Source organism: Homo sapiens, chromosome 3, assembly GCF_000001405.40.
Source record: "Homo sapiens chromosome 3, GRCh38.p14 Primary Assembly".
NCBI lineage: Eukaryota > Metazoa > Chordata > Mammalia > Primates > Hominidae > Homo > Homo sapiens.
In genome coordinates this window covers 17,704,678-17,721,232 of record NC_000003.12, presented here as the reverse complement: position 1 = coordinate 17,721,232, position 16,555 = coordinate 17,704,678, and the positions used below count along the sequence as shown (strand labels likewise).

General features: G+C 39.2%; 1 protein-coding gene across 64 annotated transcripts in view; it reads left to right on the top strand.

Moving 5' to 3' along the window:
- The window catches only part of TBC1D5 (TBC1 domain family member 5), a 585,470-nt gene that overhangs the window by 21,399 nt on the left and 547,516 nt on the right, over window positions 1-16,555 (top strand). The window lies entirely within an intron of this gene.

Here is a 16,555-nt window from a genome sequence, read left to right as displayed (position 1 = left end):
AAAATATTTGATAGACCTAGATTTTTCTTTTTATAGTTTATAGTTGAGACACAAATATAATTTTTTGTTGTTGTTGTTTTTGAAACAGTCTCGGCGGGGTGTGGTTTCTCATCCCTGTAATCCCAGCACTTTGGGAGGCTGAGGCAGGCGGATCAGTTGAGGTCAGGAATTCAAGACCAGCCTGGCCAACATAGCAAAACCCTGTCTCTACTAACAAATACAAAAATTACTCAGGCGTTGTAGTGCACACCTGTGATCCCAGCTACTTGGAAGGCTGAGGCAGGAGAATCGCTTGAACCCAAGAGGCAGAGGTTACAATGAACCAAGATTGTGCCACTGCACTCTAGCCTGGATGACAGAGTGAGACTCCATCTCAAAAAACAAACAAACAAAAAGAAAAAAAGTAAAGTCAAAAAAAAAAAGAAAGTCTCACTCTGTTGCTCAGGCTACAGGGTAGTGGCGCTATCACTTCTAAATACAGCCTTGATTTCCCAGGCTCAGGAGATCCTCCCCACTCAAGTGATCCTCTGAAATAGCTGGGACCACAGGTATGTGCTACCATGCCCAGCTACCTAAAAAAAATTTGTTTTAGAGGCAGGGTCTCCCTATGTTGCCCAAGCTGGTCTCAAACTTCCTGGGCTCAAGCAATCCTCCTACCTTGCCTTCCCAAAGTACTGGGATTATAGGTGTGAGCCACCATGCCCAACCTACAGTGTTTTATGATGTAGAATTACTTGTACACCTTGCAAATTATTTTCTAGTTCTTTTATTTTTACTCAACATTTAGCCATTATTTTCTCTCATTGAGTAGTGATGACTAAGTAGAATGTATTAGCTGATTGCATTTTTAAACCATATTTTTTATTATAATGAAATTTAAGAATATTATAAAGACAATGCAGAGGTTTTTATCTTTGAAACTTGATATCATTTTAAAAATGTTGGCTACACAAATGTGTTACATTTGTAGCTTTTCAGTTTTTTTCAGGTTACAGAGACATTGAAAACAAAGCAGCCATTTCTTGATTTATCTTTTAAAAAGTTGCAGGATCTTCAGTCAAATACTTGAAAGTGATTTGGGTAAAAAGAGCGACACGGCTTTATCTAAATACACACATACACAAATACTTCCTATTAAACATGTTAAGTGTTTTAATTTTCTTGATTTACTTTAGACACTCGTGATGCAAAACTTGAGCAGAGCAAATTTTTGTGTAGTTTTAGATCATGTGATATTAGTATTCATGCAGTGCTGGTTTTGATCTTGGAGGTAATCCCTATAATCACAAACTTTAAAGAGTGTTAGGATTATACTAAGTTGATATATTTTGCATTAGTAAAAATACATAGGATTAGAAAAGACACTATAAAACACATGTAGATTATTTTCTTGTTTACATTTGGCTTTGTATTTCCTATTTTGAGCTTTGGTTGTTTATATAACACAGACTGGTAATTTCTTATTAACTAGTGAATGTACTATGTGAAAAATTATAGGTTAAGTTTGAGTGAGCCTCTGTTTTATGTCCTCTAATTTTATATTTTGAAAATGATATTTTTTGATTTTATTATGTCAAACTTAAACTTTTGTGCATCAAAGTCAGTCCTCATAGGAATAGCAGTTACTACTATTGTTTGTTAAGTAGAGTTTATTCATGTATCTCTTCAGTGCTGTAGTTTGACCTTTCTGCAAAACCAAAGGGATTTTTGTGGATAATCATGTCTTCACATTCTGTAATACTGTTAAGAAAACTGAGGTTAAACAAAAGAAATCTAGATTTTTAAGTTTATCTAATAGTCCATTTAAAAAAATAATACTGGACAAAATGGGCTTTTCTAGTTATGATTGCTTATGGGAAATAAATAATATGCTAACAGGTTTTACTGGGTGATTTTTGTGGTGCTCTGCTGAGAAACCTTTCATTTTTCAGATACTAAATAACGTTCTAGATTTGTAGTGGAAAAATACATAACACTGCAGCTTCTCCTTAGTGGTTTGTCAGTGTGTATGGTGACCAGTGTTATTAGTTGATGGTAAGCTTTCATTTGAAACATTGTAGTTTTTTTTGTCTTAAATAGCCATTATCCTTTATAAAAAAGTTTATTTAAGAAACTATAAATTATTGCAGTATTGAGAGGATCAATGAAAACTTTGGTGGAAGCAAATCTTTTTTGTAATTTAGTTGATTTTATTTTTAAAATTTCAATACTTGATGATACCAAGGAATTATTGATATTGTTGAGATAATGACATTGGGATTATGTAAGAAGAATTTGTACTTTTTGTGTGTTTTCGGTATGTAGTGGTGAAATAGGTCTGGGACAGTTGAATAACTATAGCAAAATTTGATTATTTTTGAGTCTGGGTCATCTGTCTATAGGGTTTTTTAATTCTATTTTTACTTATTTTGTATATATTTATTAAATGGTATTATAAAAATCAATTAGAGATTACCATGGGCTGGAGGAGGAGCATTGGGGAATGATTGTTTAATTGGTGCAGAGTTTCTGTTTGGAATGATGAAAGTTCTGAAAATAGACAGTGGTAATGATGGTACAGCATTGTGAATATACTTAACATTGATTTGTACAGTTAAAAATGGTTACAATGGTAAATTATTTTATTTTATTTTTTTGAGTTGGAGTCTCCCTCTGTCACCCAGGCTGGAGTGCAGTGGCGCGATCTCGGCTTACTGCAAGCTCTGCCTCCAGGGTTCATGCCATTTTCCTGCCTCAGCCTCCCGAGTAGCTGGGACTACAGGTGCCCGCCACCATGCCTGCTAATTTTTTTGTATTTTTGGTAGAGACGGGGTTTCACCATGTTAGCTAGGATGGTCTCGATCTCCTGACCTCATGATCTGCCCCCGCCTTGGACTCCCAAAGTGCTGGGATTACAGGCGTGAGCCACCGTGCCTGACCACAATGGTAAATTTTATGTCATGTATTTCACAGTAATAACAAACCAATAAAAACAGGTCCATTCATAACAATAATCCCCAAGAACCATCTTCTTTTAGGAAAAACCTTTGGGAATATGCCAGTGGGTGGGAAGAGAAAGAAAAGGAGGGATTAGGATAAATAGGGTGCTGGCTGTTGCTAAGCTAGTGGCCAGGGGAGTAGTCAGACCTTTGGGGCTAGCTCTCCAAATGTGTTGGAGGGCACCTTCGCTTTTCCCCTTCCTATCTTGTCTTATTGACTTCGTACTTCAGTACGGAGAAGAGGAAGGAAAAACCACTCTTGTCATTTCAGCACTCTCTTAGTAGGGTTGAATTCTAGAGCAGTATTCTAGTGTAGGTTAGTGGTTTGTGACATACTTCATGGGCTGCTGTCAGCATAAAAAAAAATTAAAAATATCAAGTGTACTGTGCATAGTAAGTGTAAAGGTGGTTATTATAAAAATTTTGTTTCAGTTAAATGTGTATGTGTATGGGTTTGTGATATAAAATATATTCCTTAGAGTGGTACATGTTTTGAAAAGGAGTAAAGGAGTAGTATGGAGGATATTGGTGGCCACCTAGTCACTAGAAAGCATATATCAAAATTTGTACAAAGAGGCTTAGATTATAAATAACTCAGCATTTAACCTATTTTTAGACACTAATCAGACAACCAGGAGGAGCAACAGGCCAGGAACATGTGTAACAAGACTGTTCTATCAGTATATGATGAACAAGCCATGTACAAAGTTAGAGGAGTACATGGGATGGTGGCTTGAAGATGCTCATCTCATTTAGGGCCTTTGTTTTGGTAAGAAATGTGTATTAATTGGTAATTACTAATGAACTTTTTGAGGTAGGTCCTTGTGATCTGTTTATTTGCAGAACATGACACAGTAGATGCTGAGTAAAGCTCTCATTATAGTTACGCAAATATTATTTATGTTAATGTGTGAAAGTTTGATAGTATTAAATAAAGATTATTTAAAGTATTAGCTAGACTATCATGTTGCTTTAGCCACCCCCCTTTTTTTTTTTTGAAAAATCCTTTACTGCTTTATTTTTAGCTTGAAATCACCCTCATGGCATATTTTTTCAGAGAAAGCAAGGGAGAATAATAGAATTACACCCTAGAGTCAGAGAAGACTGATCTGAAATTTTACTTGTACTGTTTACTGGCTAGGTGGCTTGGAAAAATTTTGTAACCTTTTTTGATTTTTATTTTCTCACTCTGAAATTTCCTCTGAGAGTTTTACATAAAATGAAGTGATTTACATAAAATGCCTAGAATTTTATGCTCAGCAAGTCCATGTTATTGAAGTCAGGTCCCTCTTTCCTCAAATCTAATTCTTCCAAAGTCTGTAATCTTAAGTCAGTTTTTTGCTTTAGTTTGGGGATTGCTGGGAATATTATTTTTCTTTGATCAAGAACAAACACTCAGATTAATAAACCTTGTTTATGTATAAAATAAAAACAAATGGTAGATATTCTCTCTGCTCTACAAATATTTCATTTCCTGAAATATTCTATGGCAGTGAGTGAATTATTATTTTATCAGGCTAACTCTGTTAAAGAAATTTCATATAATGATTACATGAAAAAGGAGTTGAGAAGTACTATAATAGTTGTTAACACTGAGCTAGTTAAAAAATTGTGCCATTATTCCTTATGTTTAAGGTGGTTCTTTTCAACTTTGATATTTTACATTGTTAAAAAAAACTATATGAAATATGTTTAATGGATAAAGGTGTATCTTTCAGCTGATTAGTTGCATTTGTCTTGAAAAAGGACTGAATTTTGTAGATTTGAATGATAAGTCGCTGACAGGAGGTCTTTAATTTTTTTTTTCCCTCTGAACAGCTGTCTTGGCCTGCAGTGACTCCAAATCCCATAATCCTTCCAGTTGTCCCCTCCACTAAGTAAATTTCAAAAAAAAAATGACAGTTTTATTATAAGTGATTGACTGAATTCAGACAAATATTGCAGCTGAGTAAAGACTTCATCTTAGTAAGGAACACTTTGGTCTGACTAAGATGAGTTCTGGTGGTTGCTGTAGTGGAGGTAGTAGACCTCTTAAGAGGTTATTACATTATGGTAGTCCCAGCAATAGAGGAGTGGTGGACATAAACTCTCAATGGTGTTGTCTTTTTATGTCTTAAGTTGTTCATTTCATCTAAGGACCTCATGGTGCCAAGCGTCTCAGCCCATGCCCAACTTTTTTCATTTTTCTTTTTTCTTTTTTTTGAGATGGAATTTCACTCTTTTCGCCCAGGCTGGAGTCCAACGGCATGGTCTCAGCTCACTGCAGCCTCCGCCTCCCGGATTCAAGTGATCGTTCAGCCTCAGCCTCTTGAGTAACTGGGACTACAGGCATGTGCCACCACATCTGGCTAAATATTTTTAGTAGAGATGGGGTTTCACTGTGTTGGCCAGGCTGGTCTCAAACTCTTGACCTCGTGATCCTCCCACCTCGGCCTCCCCCCCCTTTTTTTTAAGAGACATAGTCTTGCTCTCTCTTCCAGGGTAGAGTGCAGTGGTACCATCATAGCTCACTGTAATTTCAAACTCGTGGGCTCAAGCGATCTTTCCACCTCAGCCTCCTGAGTAGCTGGGACTACAGGTGTGCTACCAGGCCTGGCTAATTTTTTTGTTTTTGTAGATGGAATGTTGCTCTGTTGCCCAGGCTCGTTGTGAACTCCTGGCCTGAAGTGATCTTCCTGCCTTAGTCCCTCAAAGTGCTGGCATTTGACAGGTGTGAGCCACCATGCCTGGCCTCCATGTCCCACTTTGATAGATCCTTCTTTTATGTTATTTGAAAATTCAGAGTAACTCTAAGACAAAAATGGACAAAATGATTTTTTGTTCCCAAATTGCATATGCCCCCCTGTATATACTGATACTTGGTCTCCTTGAAAAAATCATTGTCATAGGGCTAGAAATGAGAGTAAGTCACAGACCTTGCTCTCTAAAAATAGAAATGGGAACCACTAATCAGGATCGAGTATTCTCTAGAGTACTGGAAGAGTGCTTTGCTCTCTTGGACCCAGGTAAGTTCTGTGTTATGGAAGTAATTTCACAGGAACTTGAGATCAATGCCCAGTATTCCCTAGTGTAACTTTTGATATTGAAGAGTGACAGATTTGCAGTATGACATTTACATTTAGTAAATATATCTTTTAAAATACTCATCCTGCATCTGAATAAGATCTACTTTACAAATTCATTTTAATGTATATTCTGTGATAATTCTGATAATACATAAGAGGTAAGTGTTATTGTTACTGCTATCTTCCTTCCTTCCTTTGCACATTTAAGTCTAGTGTGTCTTAAACTCTAGTGGGATTTCTACTGTGTCTTGCATAGATTGGTCAAGACAGAATTTTTGTCCTGAAGGATCCTGTAATGTAATGGGGATCAACACTATTAAGTCTTGAGTCAGGTTAGGTTCTGTTTCTTCTTGAGTCAGGTTGTAACAGTACATTTTGTTTTTATTTTTTAAGAGATGGGGTCTCACTATGTTGCCCAGGCTGGAACTCCTGGGCTCATGGGATCCTCCTGCATCAGCCTCACAAGTAGCTGGGACTACAGGCACATGCCACCATGCCTGACTTGTTTAGTTGTTTTCCCAAAGTGTTTTTGCAAAGACTTTATTCCTTGTTATGTGTGGTCAGTAAATTCTCTGTTCTTTACCTTGTGTTTAGCTAGAGTCGTGACAAAACTGCCTTGAATGTCAAGAGATAAAACAAAAAACAAACCCAGCAAACAGAAGAAGAATGTCTCTCCCAGTCTTCGTGGATTGGCTCTCTTTGGGAGTACTCCTTCAATAGTTAGCCAGGCTTGCACTGAGCCTAGGAAGCAGTCCAAGGTGGAAGCTTAGAGTTCTCACAAGTTTTTTCTGATGATGCATGTTATAGTGCTGTCTTCCAAATTCCCCTCTATGCTCCTAATTTATCAAATAAATTATCTCCAGCTTCTGGGCATTAGGTGACTATTGTATGTTTAGACAGGAATCTTTTGTCTCAGGCATCTATGGGTTATTAGTTCTACTTGGCATGTTTTCAAGATGATTGCTGCTTTTGTAGCCTGAGTTCTTAGGTAAAATAGAGTGGAGCATCTTGCATCAGTCATTAAGGTAGCTCCCAGACAGGTTAGAACAGATATACACAATAATTTCCAAATACAGTCTATTCTGCTCTCTCTGGAACCAGAGAGGGAAGACACACAGGGAAGACAGCCTAAGGCCGCCATTTGTACCAGGGAAGAGATGGGGCTAGGGCATGAAAAAATATTATAAAGCTTTTGAAGTTGCCTTTCTCTTGATTCAACATTTATTTGGCTATTATACAACTTCGACTGTTCCATGATTTTGACAAAACTGGTTCTTATAGTTACTGCTTATTTTTTGATGTTTCAATGGGTAGAGAGAACTTGGAGCTCCCTACTTTGCCATTTTGCTCCCTACTTTCCCATTGTGGTTTTGATTTGCATTTCCATGATGACTAATGATGTTGAGCATGTTTTCATGTGCTTTCTGGCCATTTGAATATCTTCTTTGGAGATATGTGTATTCAGATTCTTTTCCTATTTTTTAATTGGGTCGATTGTCCTTCTATCATTGAATTTTAAGAGTTCTTTATATATTCTAGATACAAGTCTCATATATGATTTAGAAACATTTTTCCCCCATTCTGTGGCTTGTCTTTTCACATGACTAAAGTGAATTGTTGAGTTGTCGTTTGAAAAACACAATAATTTGGCTGGGCACAGTGGCTCATGCCTGTAATCTCAGCACTTTGGGAGGCCAAGGCGGGCGGATCATGAGGTCAGGACTTTGAGACCATCCTGGTTAACATGGTGAAACCCTGTCTGTACTAAAAATACAAAAAAATTAGCCGGGCGTGGTGACGGGCACCTGTAGTCCCAGCTACTTGGGAGGCTGAGGCAGGAGAATGGCGTGAACCCTGGAGGCGGAGCTTGCAGTAAGCTGAGATCGCGCCACTGCACTCCAGCCTGGATGACAGAGCGAGACTCCATCTCAAAAAAAAAAAAAAAGAAAAGAAAAGAAAAACACAATAATTTAAAATTTTGATGATACCCAGTTTATCTATTTTTTCTGTTGTTATTTATACTTTTGGTGTCATATCTAAGAAGTACCTATATTTAAAACTTAAACAGAGAAAAATACGCGAGTAAAGAAAACTGACAGGTCAGAAAAGAACCAGGAGACGACCTCGTCAGATAAATCAAGTAAAGAGAGAGGTTTAAGTCAGGGGTAGTTAATTGCATCATATGCTGCAGGGAGTTTGATGAAGAATGGGAGGGATAGGAGAAACATAAAAAGTAGGCTGTCAGAAAGGGTCATAAATGGCTTTTGACACTGGGATGGAGAGTGGTATGTATAGCCAGTGATAAGCTGGTATCTGCTCTCAGAATTACTGACTATTTAATTTATTTATTTCACCTTAAAATGCTGATTCCAGGGCTCTGAGTTGTGTGGAATTACAGTTAGGCGTCTCAGAGTGGCTCTCCTTTATGCTTTATACTGTTTTTCACTGGTTATTGTTCTAGATGCTTTCTTGGTTGCCTGCTCAGCTTGAGCCCTTCTTGTCTGAGAAGTGATACTTCTGCTCCAATGGTGGGCCTTTGCAGCTATGTAAGTGGGACTCTCGTATTCCCGATACATAGCTGTTAGGACCATGAGTAGGACTGTATGTTAAACTGGGCTAAGTAGTTTTCAACAATTTAAAAATGATGGATGGCAGAGATGCAAGTTTGATTCTGTAAGGCTTTTCTTCTAGAAATACATGTAAAACTGAGGCTGAGACAGCCATAGCTAGCCTGTGGTCATTATAAAAACAGAGGGGACTGGCATGTGGGAAACAAAATGATGCCCACTGCCAGGGAGGTCTGAAGTCCCTGAGAGATGCAATAGCCTTAATTCCTGGCAGCTTTGCGGTTCTGATTTCCAGACTCTTGTAAAGATCTATGGTAAAATTCTTGTTCATCAGTTCTGTGGGAGACCATTATTTCTTTTTAATAAAAGTTGTCACTTTGGGCTAAGCAACTTTGTGTGGGTTTCTGTTATTGGTACCCAGAAAACCTTGTCCAAGAGAGTAACACATAGAAATGGTAATGATTTCACCGAGAGAAGAGAAGGGAGTAAGGAGACAGTTTCCTATGAGGTGCTTATATAATTTTAGCCTGTGATGCTGGGCAGTGACATTCAGAATGGTGATGATTATTTTTATTGTGAATTTGTTTGCTTGTCTGTGACATACATTTAATTAAGCATGTGTTTTACATTGTTGTTCTTTGGTACTGGCTTTCAAATTTTAATAACTTGTCTTTGTAATAAAGTAAAGACAGTTTGGCATTATCTTGTAAAATGGAACATGCACATTACCTTCAACACAATTCCACTTGTGGTTGTGTGAGAGAAACTCTTGGAGGTGTGCACTGGGAGATATGTTCAAGAATACTTCATAAAAGCACTGCTTGTAACACTGAAAACCTGTAAATACATCAGTAGGAGATAGGATGAAAAAGTTATGGCATATTTATACATTGCAATGTTATATAGCAGTGCAAATGAATGACCTAAAGCCACATGTGTACACATTGATTATCTTAGAAACATAATATTTAATGAAAAAATATGTAGTGTTTCTTCACTGAAAAATACGTATGATACTATTTTCAATGAGAAACTTCAAAACAAGTTAAAAACTAAGCAATATATTGTTTAATTGTTCATAAATATAGAGTAAAACATTAAGGAAAAGGGTATGATTAAGATAAAATTTGGGATAATGATTATCTATGTATGAGGGGGGCAGAAGATTAGAATTATGGAGGAATATACCAGGAGCTTGAAGATATTGGTAGTGTTCTACTTCTTAGGTTTATAGGTAAGTTTATCATGTTCATATTATTTTTATGCTTTGTAACATATCTGTAACTAATACATGTATTCTTTTGCATGTATCAAGTACTTCATAATGCAAAGTTAAAAACTTTTATACATAAATTTAGTATAAAAATACCTTTTTAAAACAAAAATGAAATTCACAGGAAAAAACTCAGCATTTCTAAAATGGAAATAACCATTAGTATTTTTAATCTAGTGTTCTCTCAAGACTTCTGTCTTTATTGCCTCATACGACCATCTCAGGCGCCAAACTCTAGTATCATTTTAGACCTTATAATCCTAAGATTAATTTAATAATGAATGCTAAGTGCTAGGGATATTATAATAAAGATTTTAATAACTGTTTTCTTAAGGATTAAATAAATGAAAACAGACCGTGTATGGTGGCTCATGCCTGTAATTCTAGCACTTTGGGAGGCCGAGGTGGGCAGATCACGAGGTCAGGAGTTTGAGACCAGCCTAACTCAACATGGTGAAACTCCGTCTCTACTAAAAATACAAAAATTAGCTGGGCGTGGTGACGCATGCCTGTAATCCTAGCTACTCAGGAGGCCGAGGCAGGAGAATTGCTTGAACCTGGGAGATGGCAGTTGCAGTGAGCCGAGATTGCGCCACTGCACACCAGCCTGGGCAACAGAGCGAGGCTCTGTCTCAAAATAAATAAATAAATAAGTAAATAAATAAATAAAATAAATGAAAACAATCTTCACCCTGTCTTTTCCTCTTATCGTATCAAGTCGTTCAACAAGTTCATTCTATTTTTATCAATATATTTTTATTTATTTATTTATTTATTTATTTATTGAGATGGAGTTTTGCTCTTGTTGCCCAGGCTGGAGCCCAATGGCACGATCTCAGCTCACTGCAACCTCCGCCTCCCGGGTTCAAGTGATTCTTCTGCTTCAGCCTCCCAAGTAGCTGGGATTACAATCATGCGGCACCATACCCTGCTTATTTTGTATTTTTAGTAGACATGGGGTTTCACCATGTTGGTCAGGCTGGTCTTGAACTCCTGACCTCAAGTGAACCACCCACCTCCGCCAACCAAAATGATGGGATTACAGGTGTGAGCCACCACACCCGACCTATTTTTATCAATATATTTAGATTAATCTGTGTCTTTCTTTCTGTTCCATAAGGTCTCTATCTGGATTTCAGGCCCCACTATATCTGTACTGTTTCTCGACTGACTTTGCTATCTGTATTTTTTTTCTCCCCTTAGTTCATTTTTACTGATACTGGATTAATCTTCCTAAAACACTGCTTTGATCATTGTATATAGTTGTCCAGAAATCTTTAATGATTACTTATTACAAAATGTTGAGGTATGTATTCTTTAGATTGAGCACAAGGCTTCTAAATAATTTGGTTTTAATCAAGGGCCCATGCTCATTGCTCCTTCCCGAGAGGACAGATACTTTTCCTACTAGTTGCTTGGCCGTGGGGTGTAGTGCCGCAGGTGAGAGGTGGGGAAGGAGTAGCCTGCCTGGGTATTCTTATTATGCATGTTGTTGATAGCTCTAAGAATTCCTTTAGCTTCAAGTACATGACTTTTTTGTACTTGGGTCACCCTCAGAGCAACAGCAACTCCTATATTTTGCAGCAATTTGTACAGGATTCTTTTTAATTAAAAAAAATTTTTTTTAAGCTACAATAAGGTCTTTTCTGTCTTTCTGGTATTCCTCTTAGTTTCTGGCCTGCCTTGGCTTTCTAGTCTGGTTATGTTAGAATCATTATCAGTGGAATCATTATTATTTCAATGTGCCGTTAGACAAGGTTCTTTGAATGCCAGTAACAGAAACCCATATAAGATTGCTTATCCAAGTGAGAGTTTATATTAAAAAGCTACAAAGTTATCTCATAGAACTGATAAGCAGGAATTGCAGTTAATTTTTATAGGGAACTGAAAATCAGGAACTAGAAATTGTGTATCTAATTTCTGTGGATTTAGGGTGGGAGGGGAAGGCAGAATGTATGTTTAGTCTATCATCTTGATTCAATCTGACTCCATTTTTAGAGTCAGTTTGCTCAATAAATTGTTTTATAGATAGAGAATTTAGAAATAGTTATTTCCATTGTGAATATCCAGTCTGCCTTTACATGTACAGGCCAGCAATTAAAAGTGTAAGAGTGATGAATCTTTGATAAGTCATGATCTCTTTCGAAAGATTTGAAGCGAGTTATTTAAAACTCTTTGTATTCTCTTGAAAGTTTTATTAAGAAATGTGGACCAAGTATCATAATTTTGAAGCTTACAGGTAAAATAAATTTTATAAAGTTAGAATTAATTCATTATATTAATACTAATATGCATGTATGCCAAGAAAAAAGGGCCTAACAGAACAAAGGCAAAGAAGAAGGAAATATAATGTAGGTAATTTACCTCGTTTAAGCTTAGAGTTTTTATCTTATAATTGCTTAGAAGTGGTGCATATGTACCTGTTATTCTTGAATGGTTCCAGTGACGGTCTCCCTTTGGAAAATGAAAGATGTATTTTATTGGAAAAACTGAAATCATCATACATTATCAAATTTTGGCAAGGATGTTTGGAACCCAGAGGTATTATATGCTGGTGGGAGTTTAAGTTGATAGAGTGATTGGAGAACAGTTGGACAGTATCCGGTAGAATGGAAAATATATCAATACATATAACCCATGAATTTTACTTTTGTATAGACTTTAGAACAGTGGTTCTGAATAGGGGCGGTTTTACCCCTCAAGGGACATTTGGCAATGCTTGGAGATACTTTTTGTTGTCACACCTCAGGAGTAATGTTGGCTTCTAGTGGGTAGAAGCCAGGGTTGCTGTTAAACATTCTGCAATTTATAGGACAGACCCCCCCATAATAAAAGAATTATCTGGCCCAACATATCAAGAATTCTGAGGTTGAGAAACTGTCTTTTAGAGAAACACAAGTGAACAAAGAAACTTGTACAGAAAGGATATGTGTTAAAGCATTGACATTGTGAAAAATTAGAAATAACCTAAATGTCCATCAGCAGGGGAATGGATAAATAAAATGTGCTATGCATATGTGATTCGCTACTTGATAAAAGCATAGTTAAAAGGAACAAAGTAGATCGATAGATACAGTAGTAGATCTCAAAAATGTGGAATTAAAAGAAGCAAGTACTTTCAGTATGGTATCATTTATGAAAACTGAAAAAATATATGAAACACATTCTGTTATTTAAATATGTAACTGACAATGTGGAAAATGAATTAGGAGGCCACATACCAATTTCATGATAGTGGTTGCTAGTAAGGAGGTAAAGAAGGGGAATGCCACTGGGGGTGGTGAACAGTGGGCGTCAACTTTATCTCTAGTTATTCCTTTATGTGTACATAAAGTGAACCAAATATGGTTTCATATTTATGTGAATTTGATTGCATAACGTGAATGTCATTTGTTATAAATTCTAGTTGGTGGGAACACAGATGTTTGTAATATTACCTTTTTTAGAGTTGAAAATTTCTCAACAACAAAAATACACTCATTGATGAATTTTTTCTGGTACTTGGTACAGCATGTTGCATTTTTTTTGTTTGTTTCTTTGGTTGTTTTTAATTCTTCCTGTTCAGGAAGTTAACTGGGCTTCCTCTGGAGAAAAGGATATATTTTTATATATTCATTGTTTAGTTTATGTGTATAACTGTGAAGAAGCTGTTTTGACTGGCATTGACCATTAAGTTTGTGCTTAATTCACAAAGGAGAAAACCATGATAAATCCAGTAACTGTTTATTTTGTTTTACATCATCTTTTTATATTAGAATATATAGGAATAAGTGGCTCCCAGCAGAAACATGACAGATTTCTTCTATTTTGACATTTTGTTCCATTGATTTTGTTGATGTTGTAAAGGTATCTGATTATAGTAGTTAAGTAATCCTTTCAGTAACTAACTAGGAAATTAAATTTAGGGATCTAAGTGATTCTAGGAACTTTGCTAATAAAATGTACTTAAAAATCTTGTTAACTAACATTTTTTGAATAAGTTACACTTAACTGTGAAAATTTTATAAATTTATTGAAGAGAGAAAATGGATATAATGTCATAGTGAAAGCTTTTTTTCCCCCAGAACACAGAGATCACTTTTTATAAATGAGATAAATTAACAATAAAAAGAAGTGGGAATAATGCATGACCTGTAATTTTTTTCTTAAAGTGTTATAAAAATAAGTATCTCAAATATAGTGTAGTTAAAAGTTATAATAACTATTCATGATATCTTTGAATTTATCTCAAATTAAATAAGTTAGGTGAAAATTACATTTATAATTGTATAGAAGTTTGTAATTTTGAAGCAAAAAACATTTACCGAAATTATCCCAAAGTTTAGGAAGTCCACTAATTTAAATTTGAAAATTCAAAACAATCTTTTGTTAATGATTTTTATTTACCCTTGTAGATAATTTAAATGCAAAAATAATAACCTATATCTCTTTACATGTAAATGTCAGTCCAAAAGATGACTGAAAATTAATGACTTTTTTTAAAAAAAAAAGGTCTTTCTTAAAATTTTAGATTAGATCTAATTTTTTTGTTAAAGGATTTTTATACAAATTATGAGAATGGCTTAATTATAAAACAAAGATAATTTAAATTCAGAATATTTAATTTAATATAATTTAAACTCAAATATATAATTATGCATAATTATGACTTCTAATTATATAAGTCATAACCTTTTAAGATAATTTTTATAATTAGGTGAAAACAAGGCATGCATTATCTCCGGTTGATTTTCTTGCTAATATTTGCAATGTAATAGTAGAGTTAATCCTTAATTGTTGAAAAAAGTTGTCTATAACATGGTTATCGATTATACTTCTATAATACAGTACATGATACATTGTAAGGGTCAAGCATTCAAGAAATACATGTTTAAAAGTAAAACATCTCACTAGTGGGGTGTGCGCGCGCGTGTGTGTGTGTGTGTGTAAGTAAAGTTGATTCTAGGAGACAATCACTGATTAAACCTAGGAATTTATTAGATTAGCTTTCCTTCAAATATAAAATATGTGCTCTTTCACAAAGGTATACAGTTCTGGTTTGAACAGAAAAGGTGAGACCCTCTAGTTCAACTCTTTAGAGCTGAGTATGTGAAGAAGTACAAATATCAATGTGGTGGCCGCCGCCTCCACAGCCTGGGCCTCGCCGCGATGCCGGAGAAGAGGCCCTTCGAGCGGCTGCCTGCCGATGTCTCCCCCATCAACTGCAGCCTTTGCCTCAAGCCCGACTTGCTGGACTTCACCTTCGAGGGCAAGCTGGAGGCCGCCGCCCAGTCTGGGGTCGGGGGAAATCAGTAGGCTCCCACCTTAAAGAACATGGTGTAAGTCCAGGCTGGGTGACAGCAAGACTCCGTCTCAAAAAAAAAAAAGAGTAAAGAAATGCTGAGGAGCGCCGCCCGGGAGGCAGCGGCTGGAGGAGCGGACGGGCCCCGCGGGCCCGAGGGCAAGGAGCAGACGCCTGCCTTGGCCTCCCAAAGTGCCGAGATTGCAGCCTCTGCCCGGCCGCCACCCCGTCTGGGAAGTGAGGAGTGTCTCTGCCTGGCCGCCCATCGTCTGGGATGTGAGGAGCCCCTCTGCCTGGCTGCCCAGTCTGGAAAGTGAGGAGCGTCTCCGCCCGGCCGCCATCCCATCTAGGAAGTGAGGAGCGCCTCTTCCCAGCCGCCATCACATCTAGGAAGTGAGGAGCGTCTCTGCCCGGCCGCCCATCGTCTGAGATGTGGGGAGCGCCTCTGCCCCGCCGCCCCATCTGGGATGTGAGGAGCGCCTCTGCCCGGCCGAGACCCCGTCTGGGAGGTGAGGAGCGTCTCTGCCCGGCCGCCCCGTCTGAGAAGTGAGGAGACCCTCCGCCTGGCAACCACCCCGTCTGAGAAGTGAGGAGCCCCTCCGCCCGACAGCTGCCCCGTCTGAGAAGTGAGGAGCCTCTCCGCCCGGCAGCCACCCCATCTGGGAAGTGAGGAGCATCTCCGCCCGGCAGCCACCCCGTCCGGGAGGGAGGTGGGGGGGGGTCAGCCCCCAGCCCGGCCAGCCGCCCCATCCGGGAGGGAGGTGGGGGGGTCAGCCCCCCGCCTGGCCAGCCGTGCCGTCCGGGAGGGAGGTGGGGGGGTCAGCCCCCCGCCTGGCCAGCCGTGCCGTCCGGGAGGGAGGTGGGGGGGTCAGCCCCCCGCCTGGCCAGCCGTGCCGTCCGGGAGGGAGGTGGGGGGGTCAGCCCCCCGCCTGGCCAGCCGCCCCGTCCGGGAGGGAGGTGGGGGGTCAGCCCCCCGCCTGGCCAGCCGTGCCGTCCGGGAGGGAGGTGGGGGGGTCAGCCCCCCGCCTGGCCAGCCGCCCCGTCCGGGAGGGAGGTGGGGGGGTCAGCCCTCCGCCCGGCCAGCCGCCCCGTCTGGGAGGTGAGGGGCGCCTCTGCCCAGCCGCCCCTACTGGGAAGTGAGGAGCCCCTCTGCCCGGCCAGCCGCCCCGTCCGGGAGGGAGGTTGGGGGGTCAGCCCCCCGCCCGGCCAGCCGCCCTGTCCGGGAGGGAGGTGGGGGGGTCAGCCCTCCGCCCGGCCAGCCGCCCCGTCTGGGAGGTGAGGGGCGCCTCTGCCCGGCCGCCCCTACTGGGAAGTGAGGAGTCCCTCTGCCCGGCCAGCCGCCCCGTCCGGGAGGGAGGTGGGGGGGTCGGCCCCCCGCCCGGCCAGCCGCC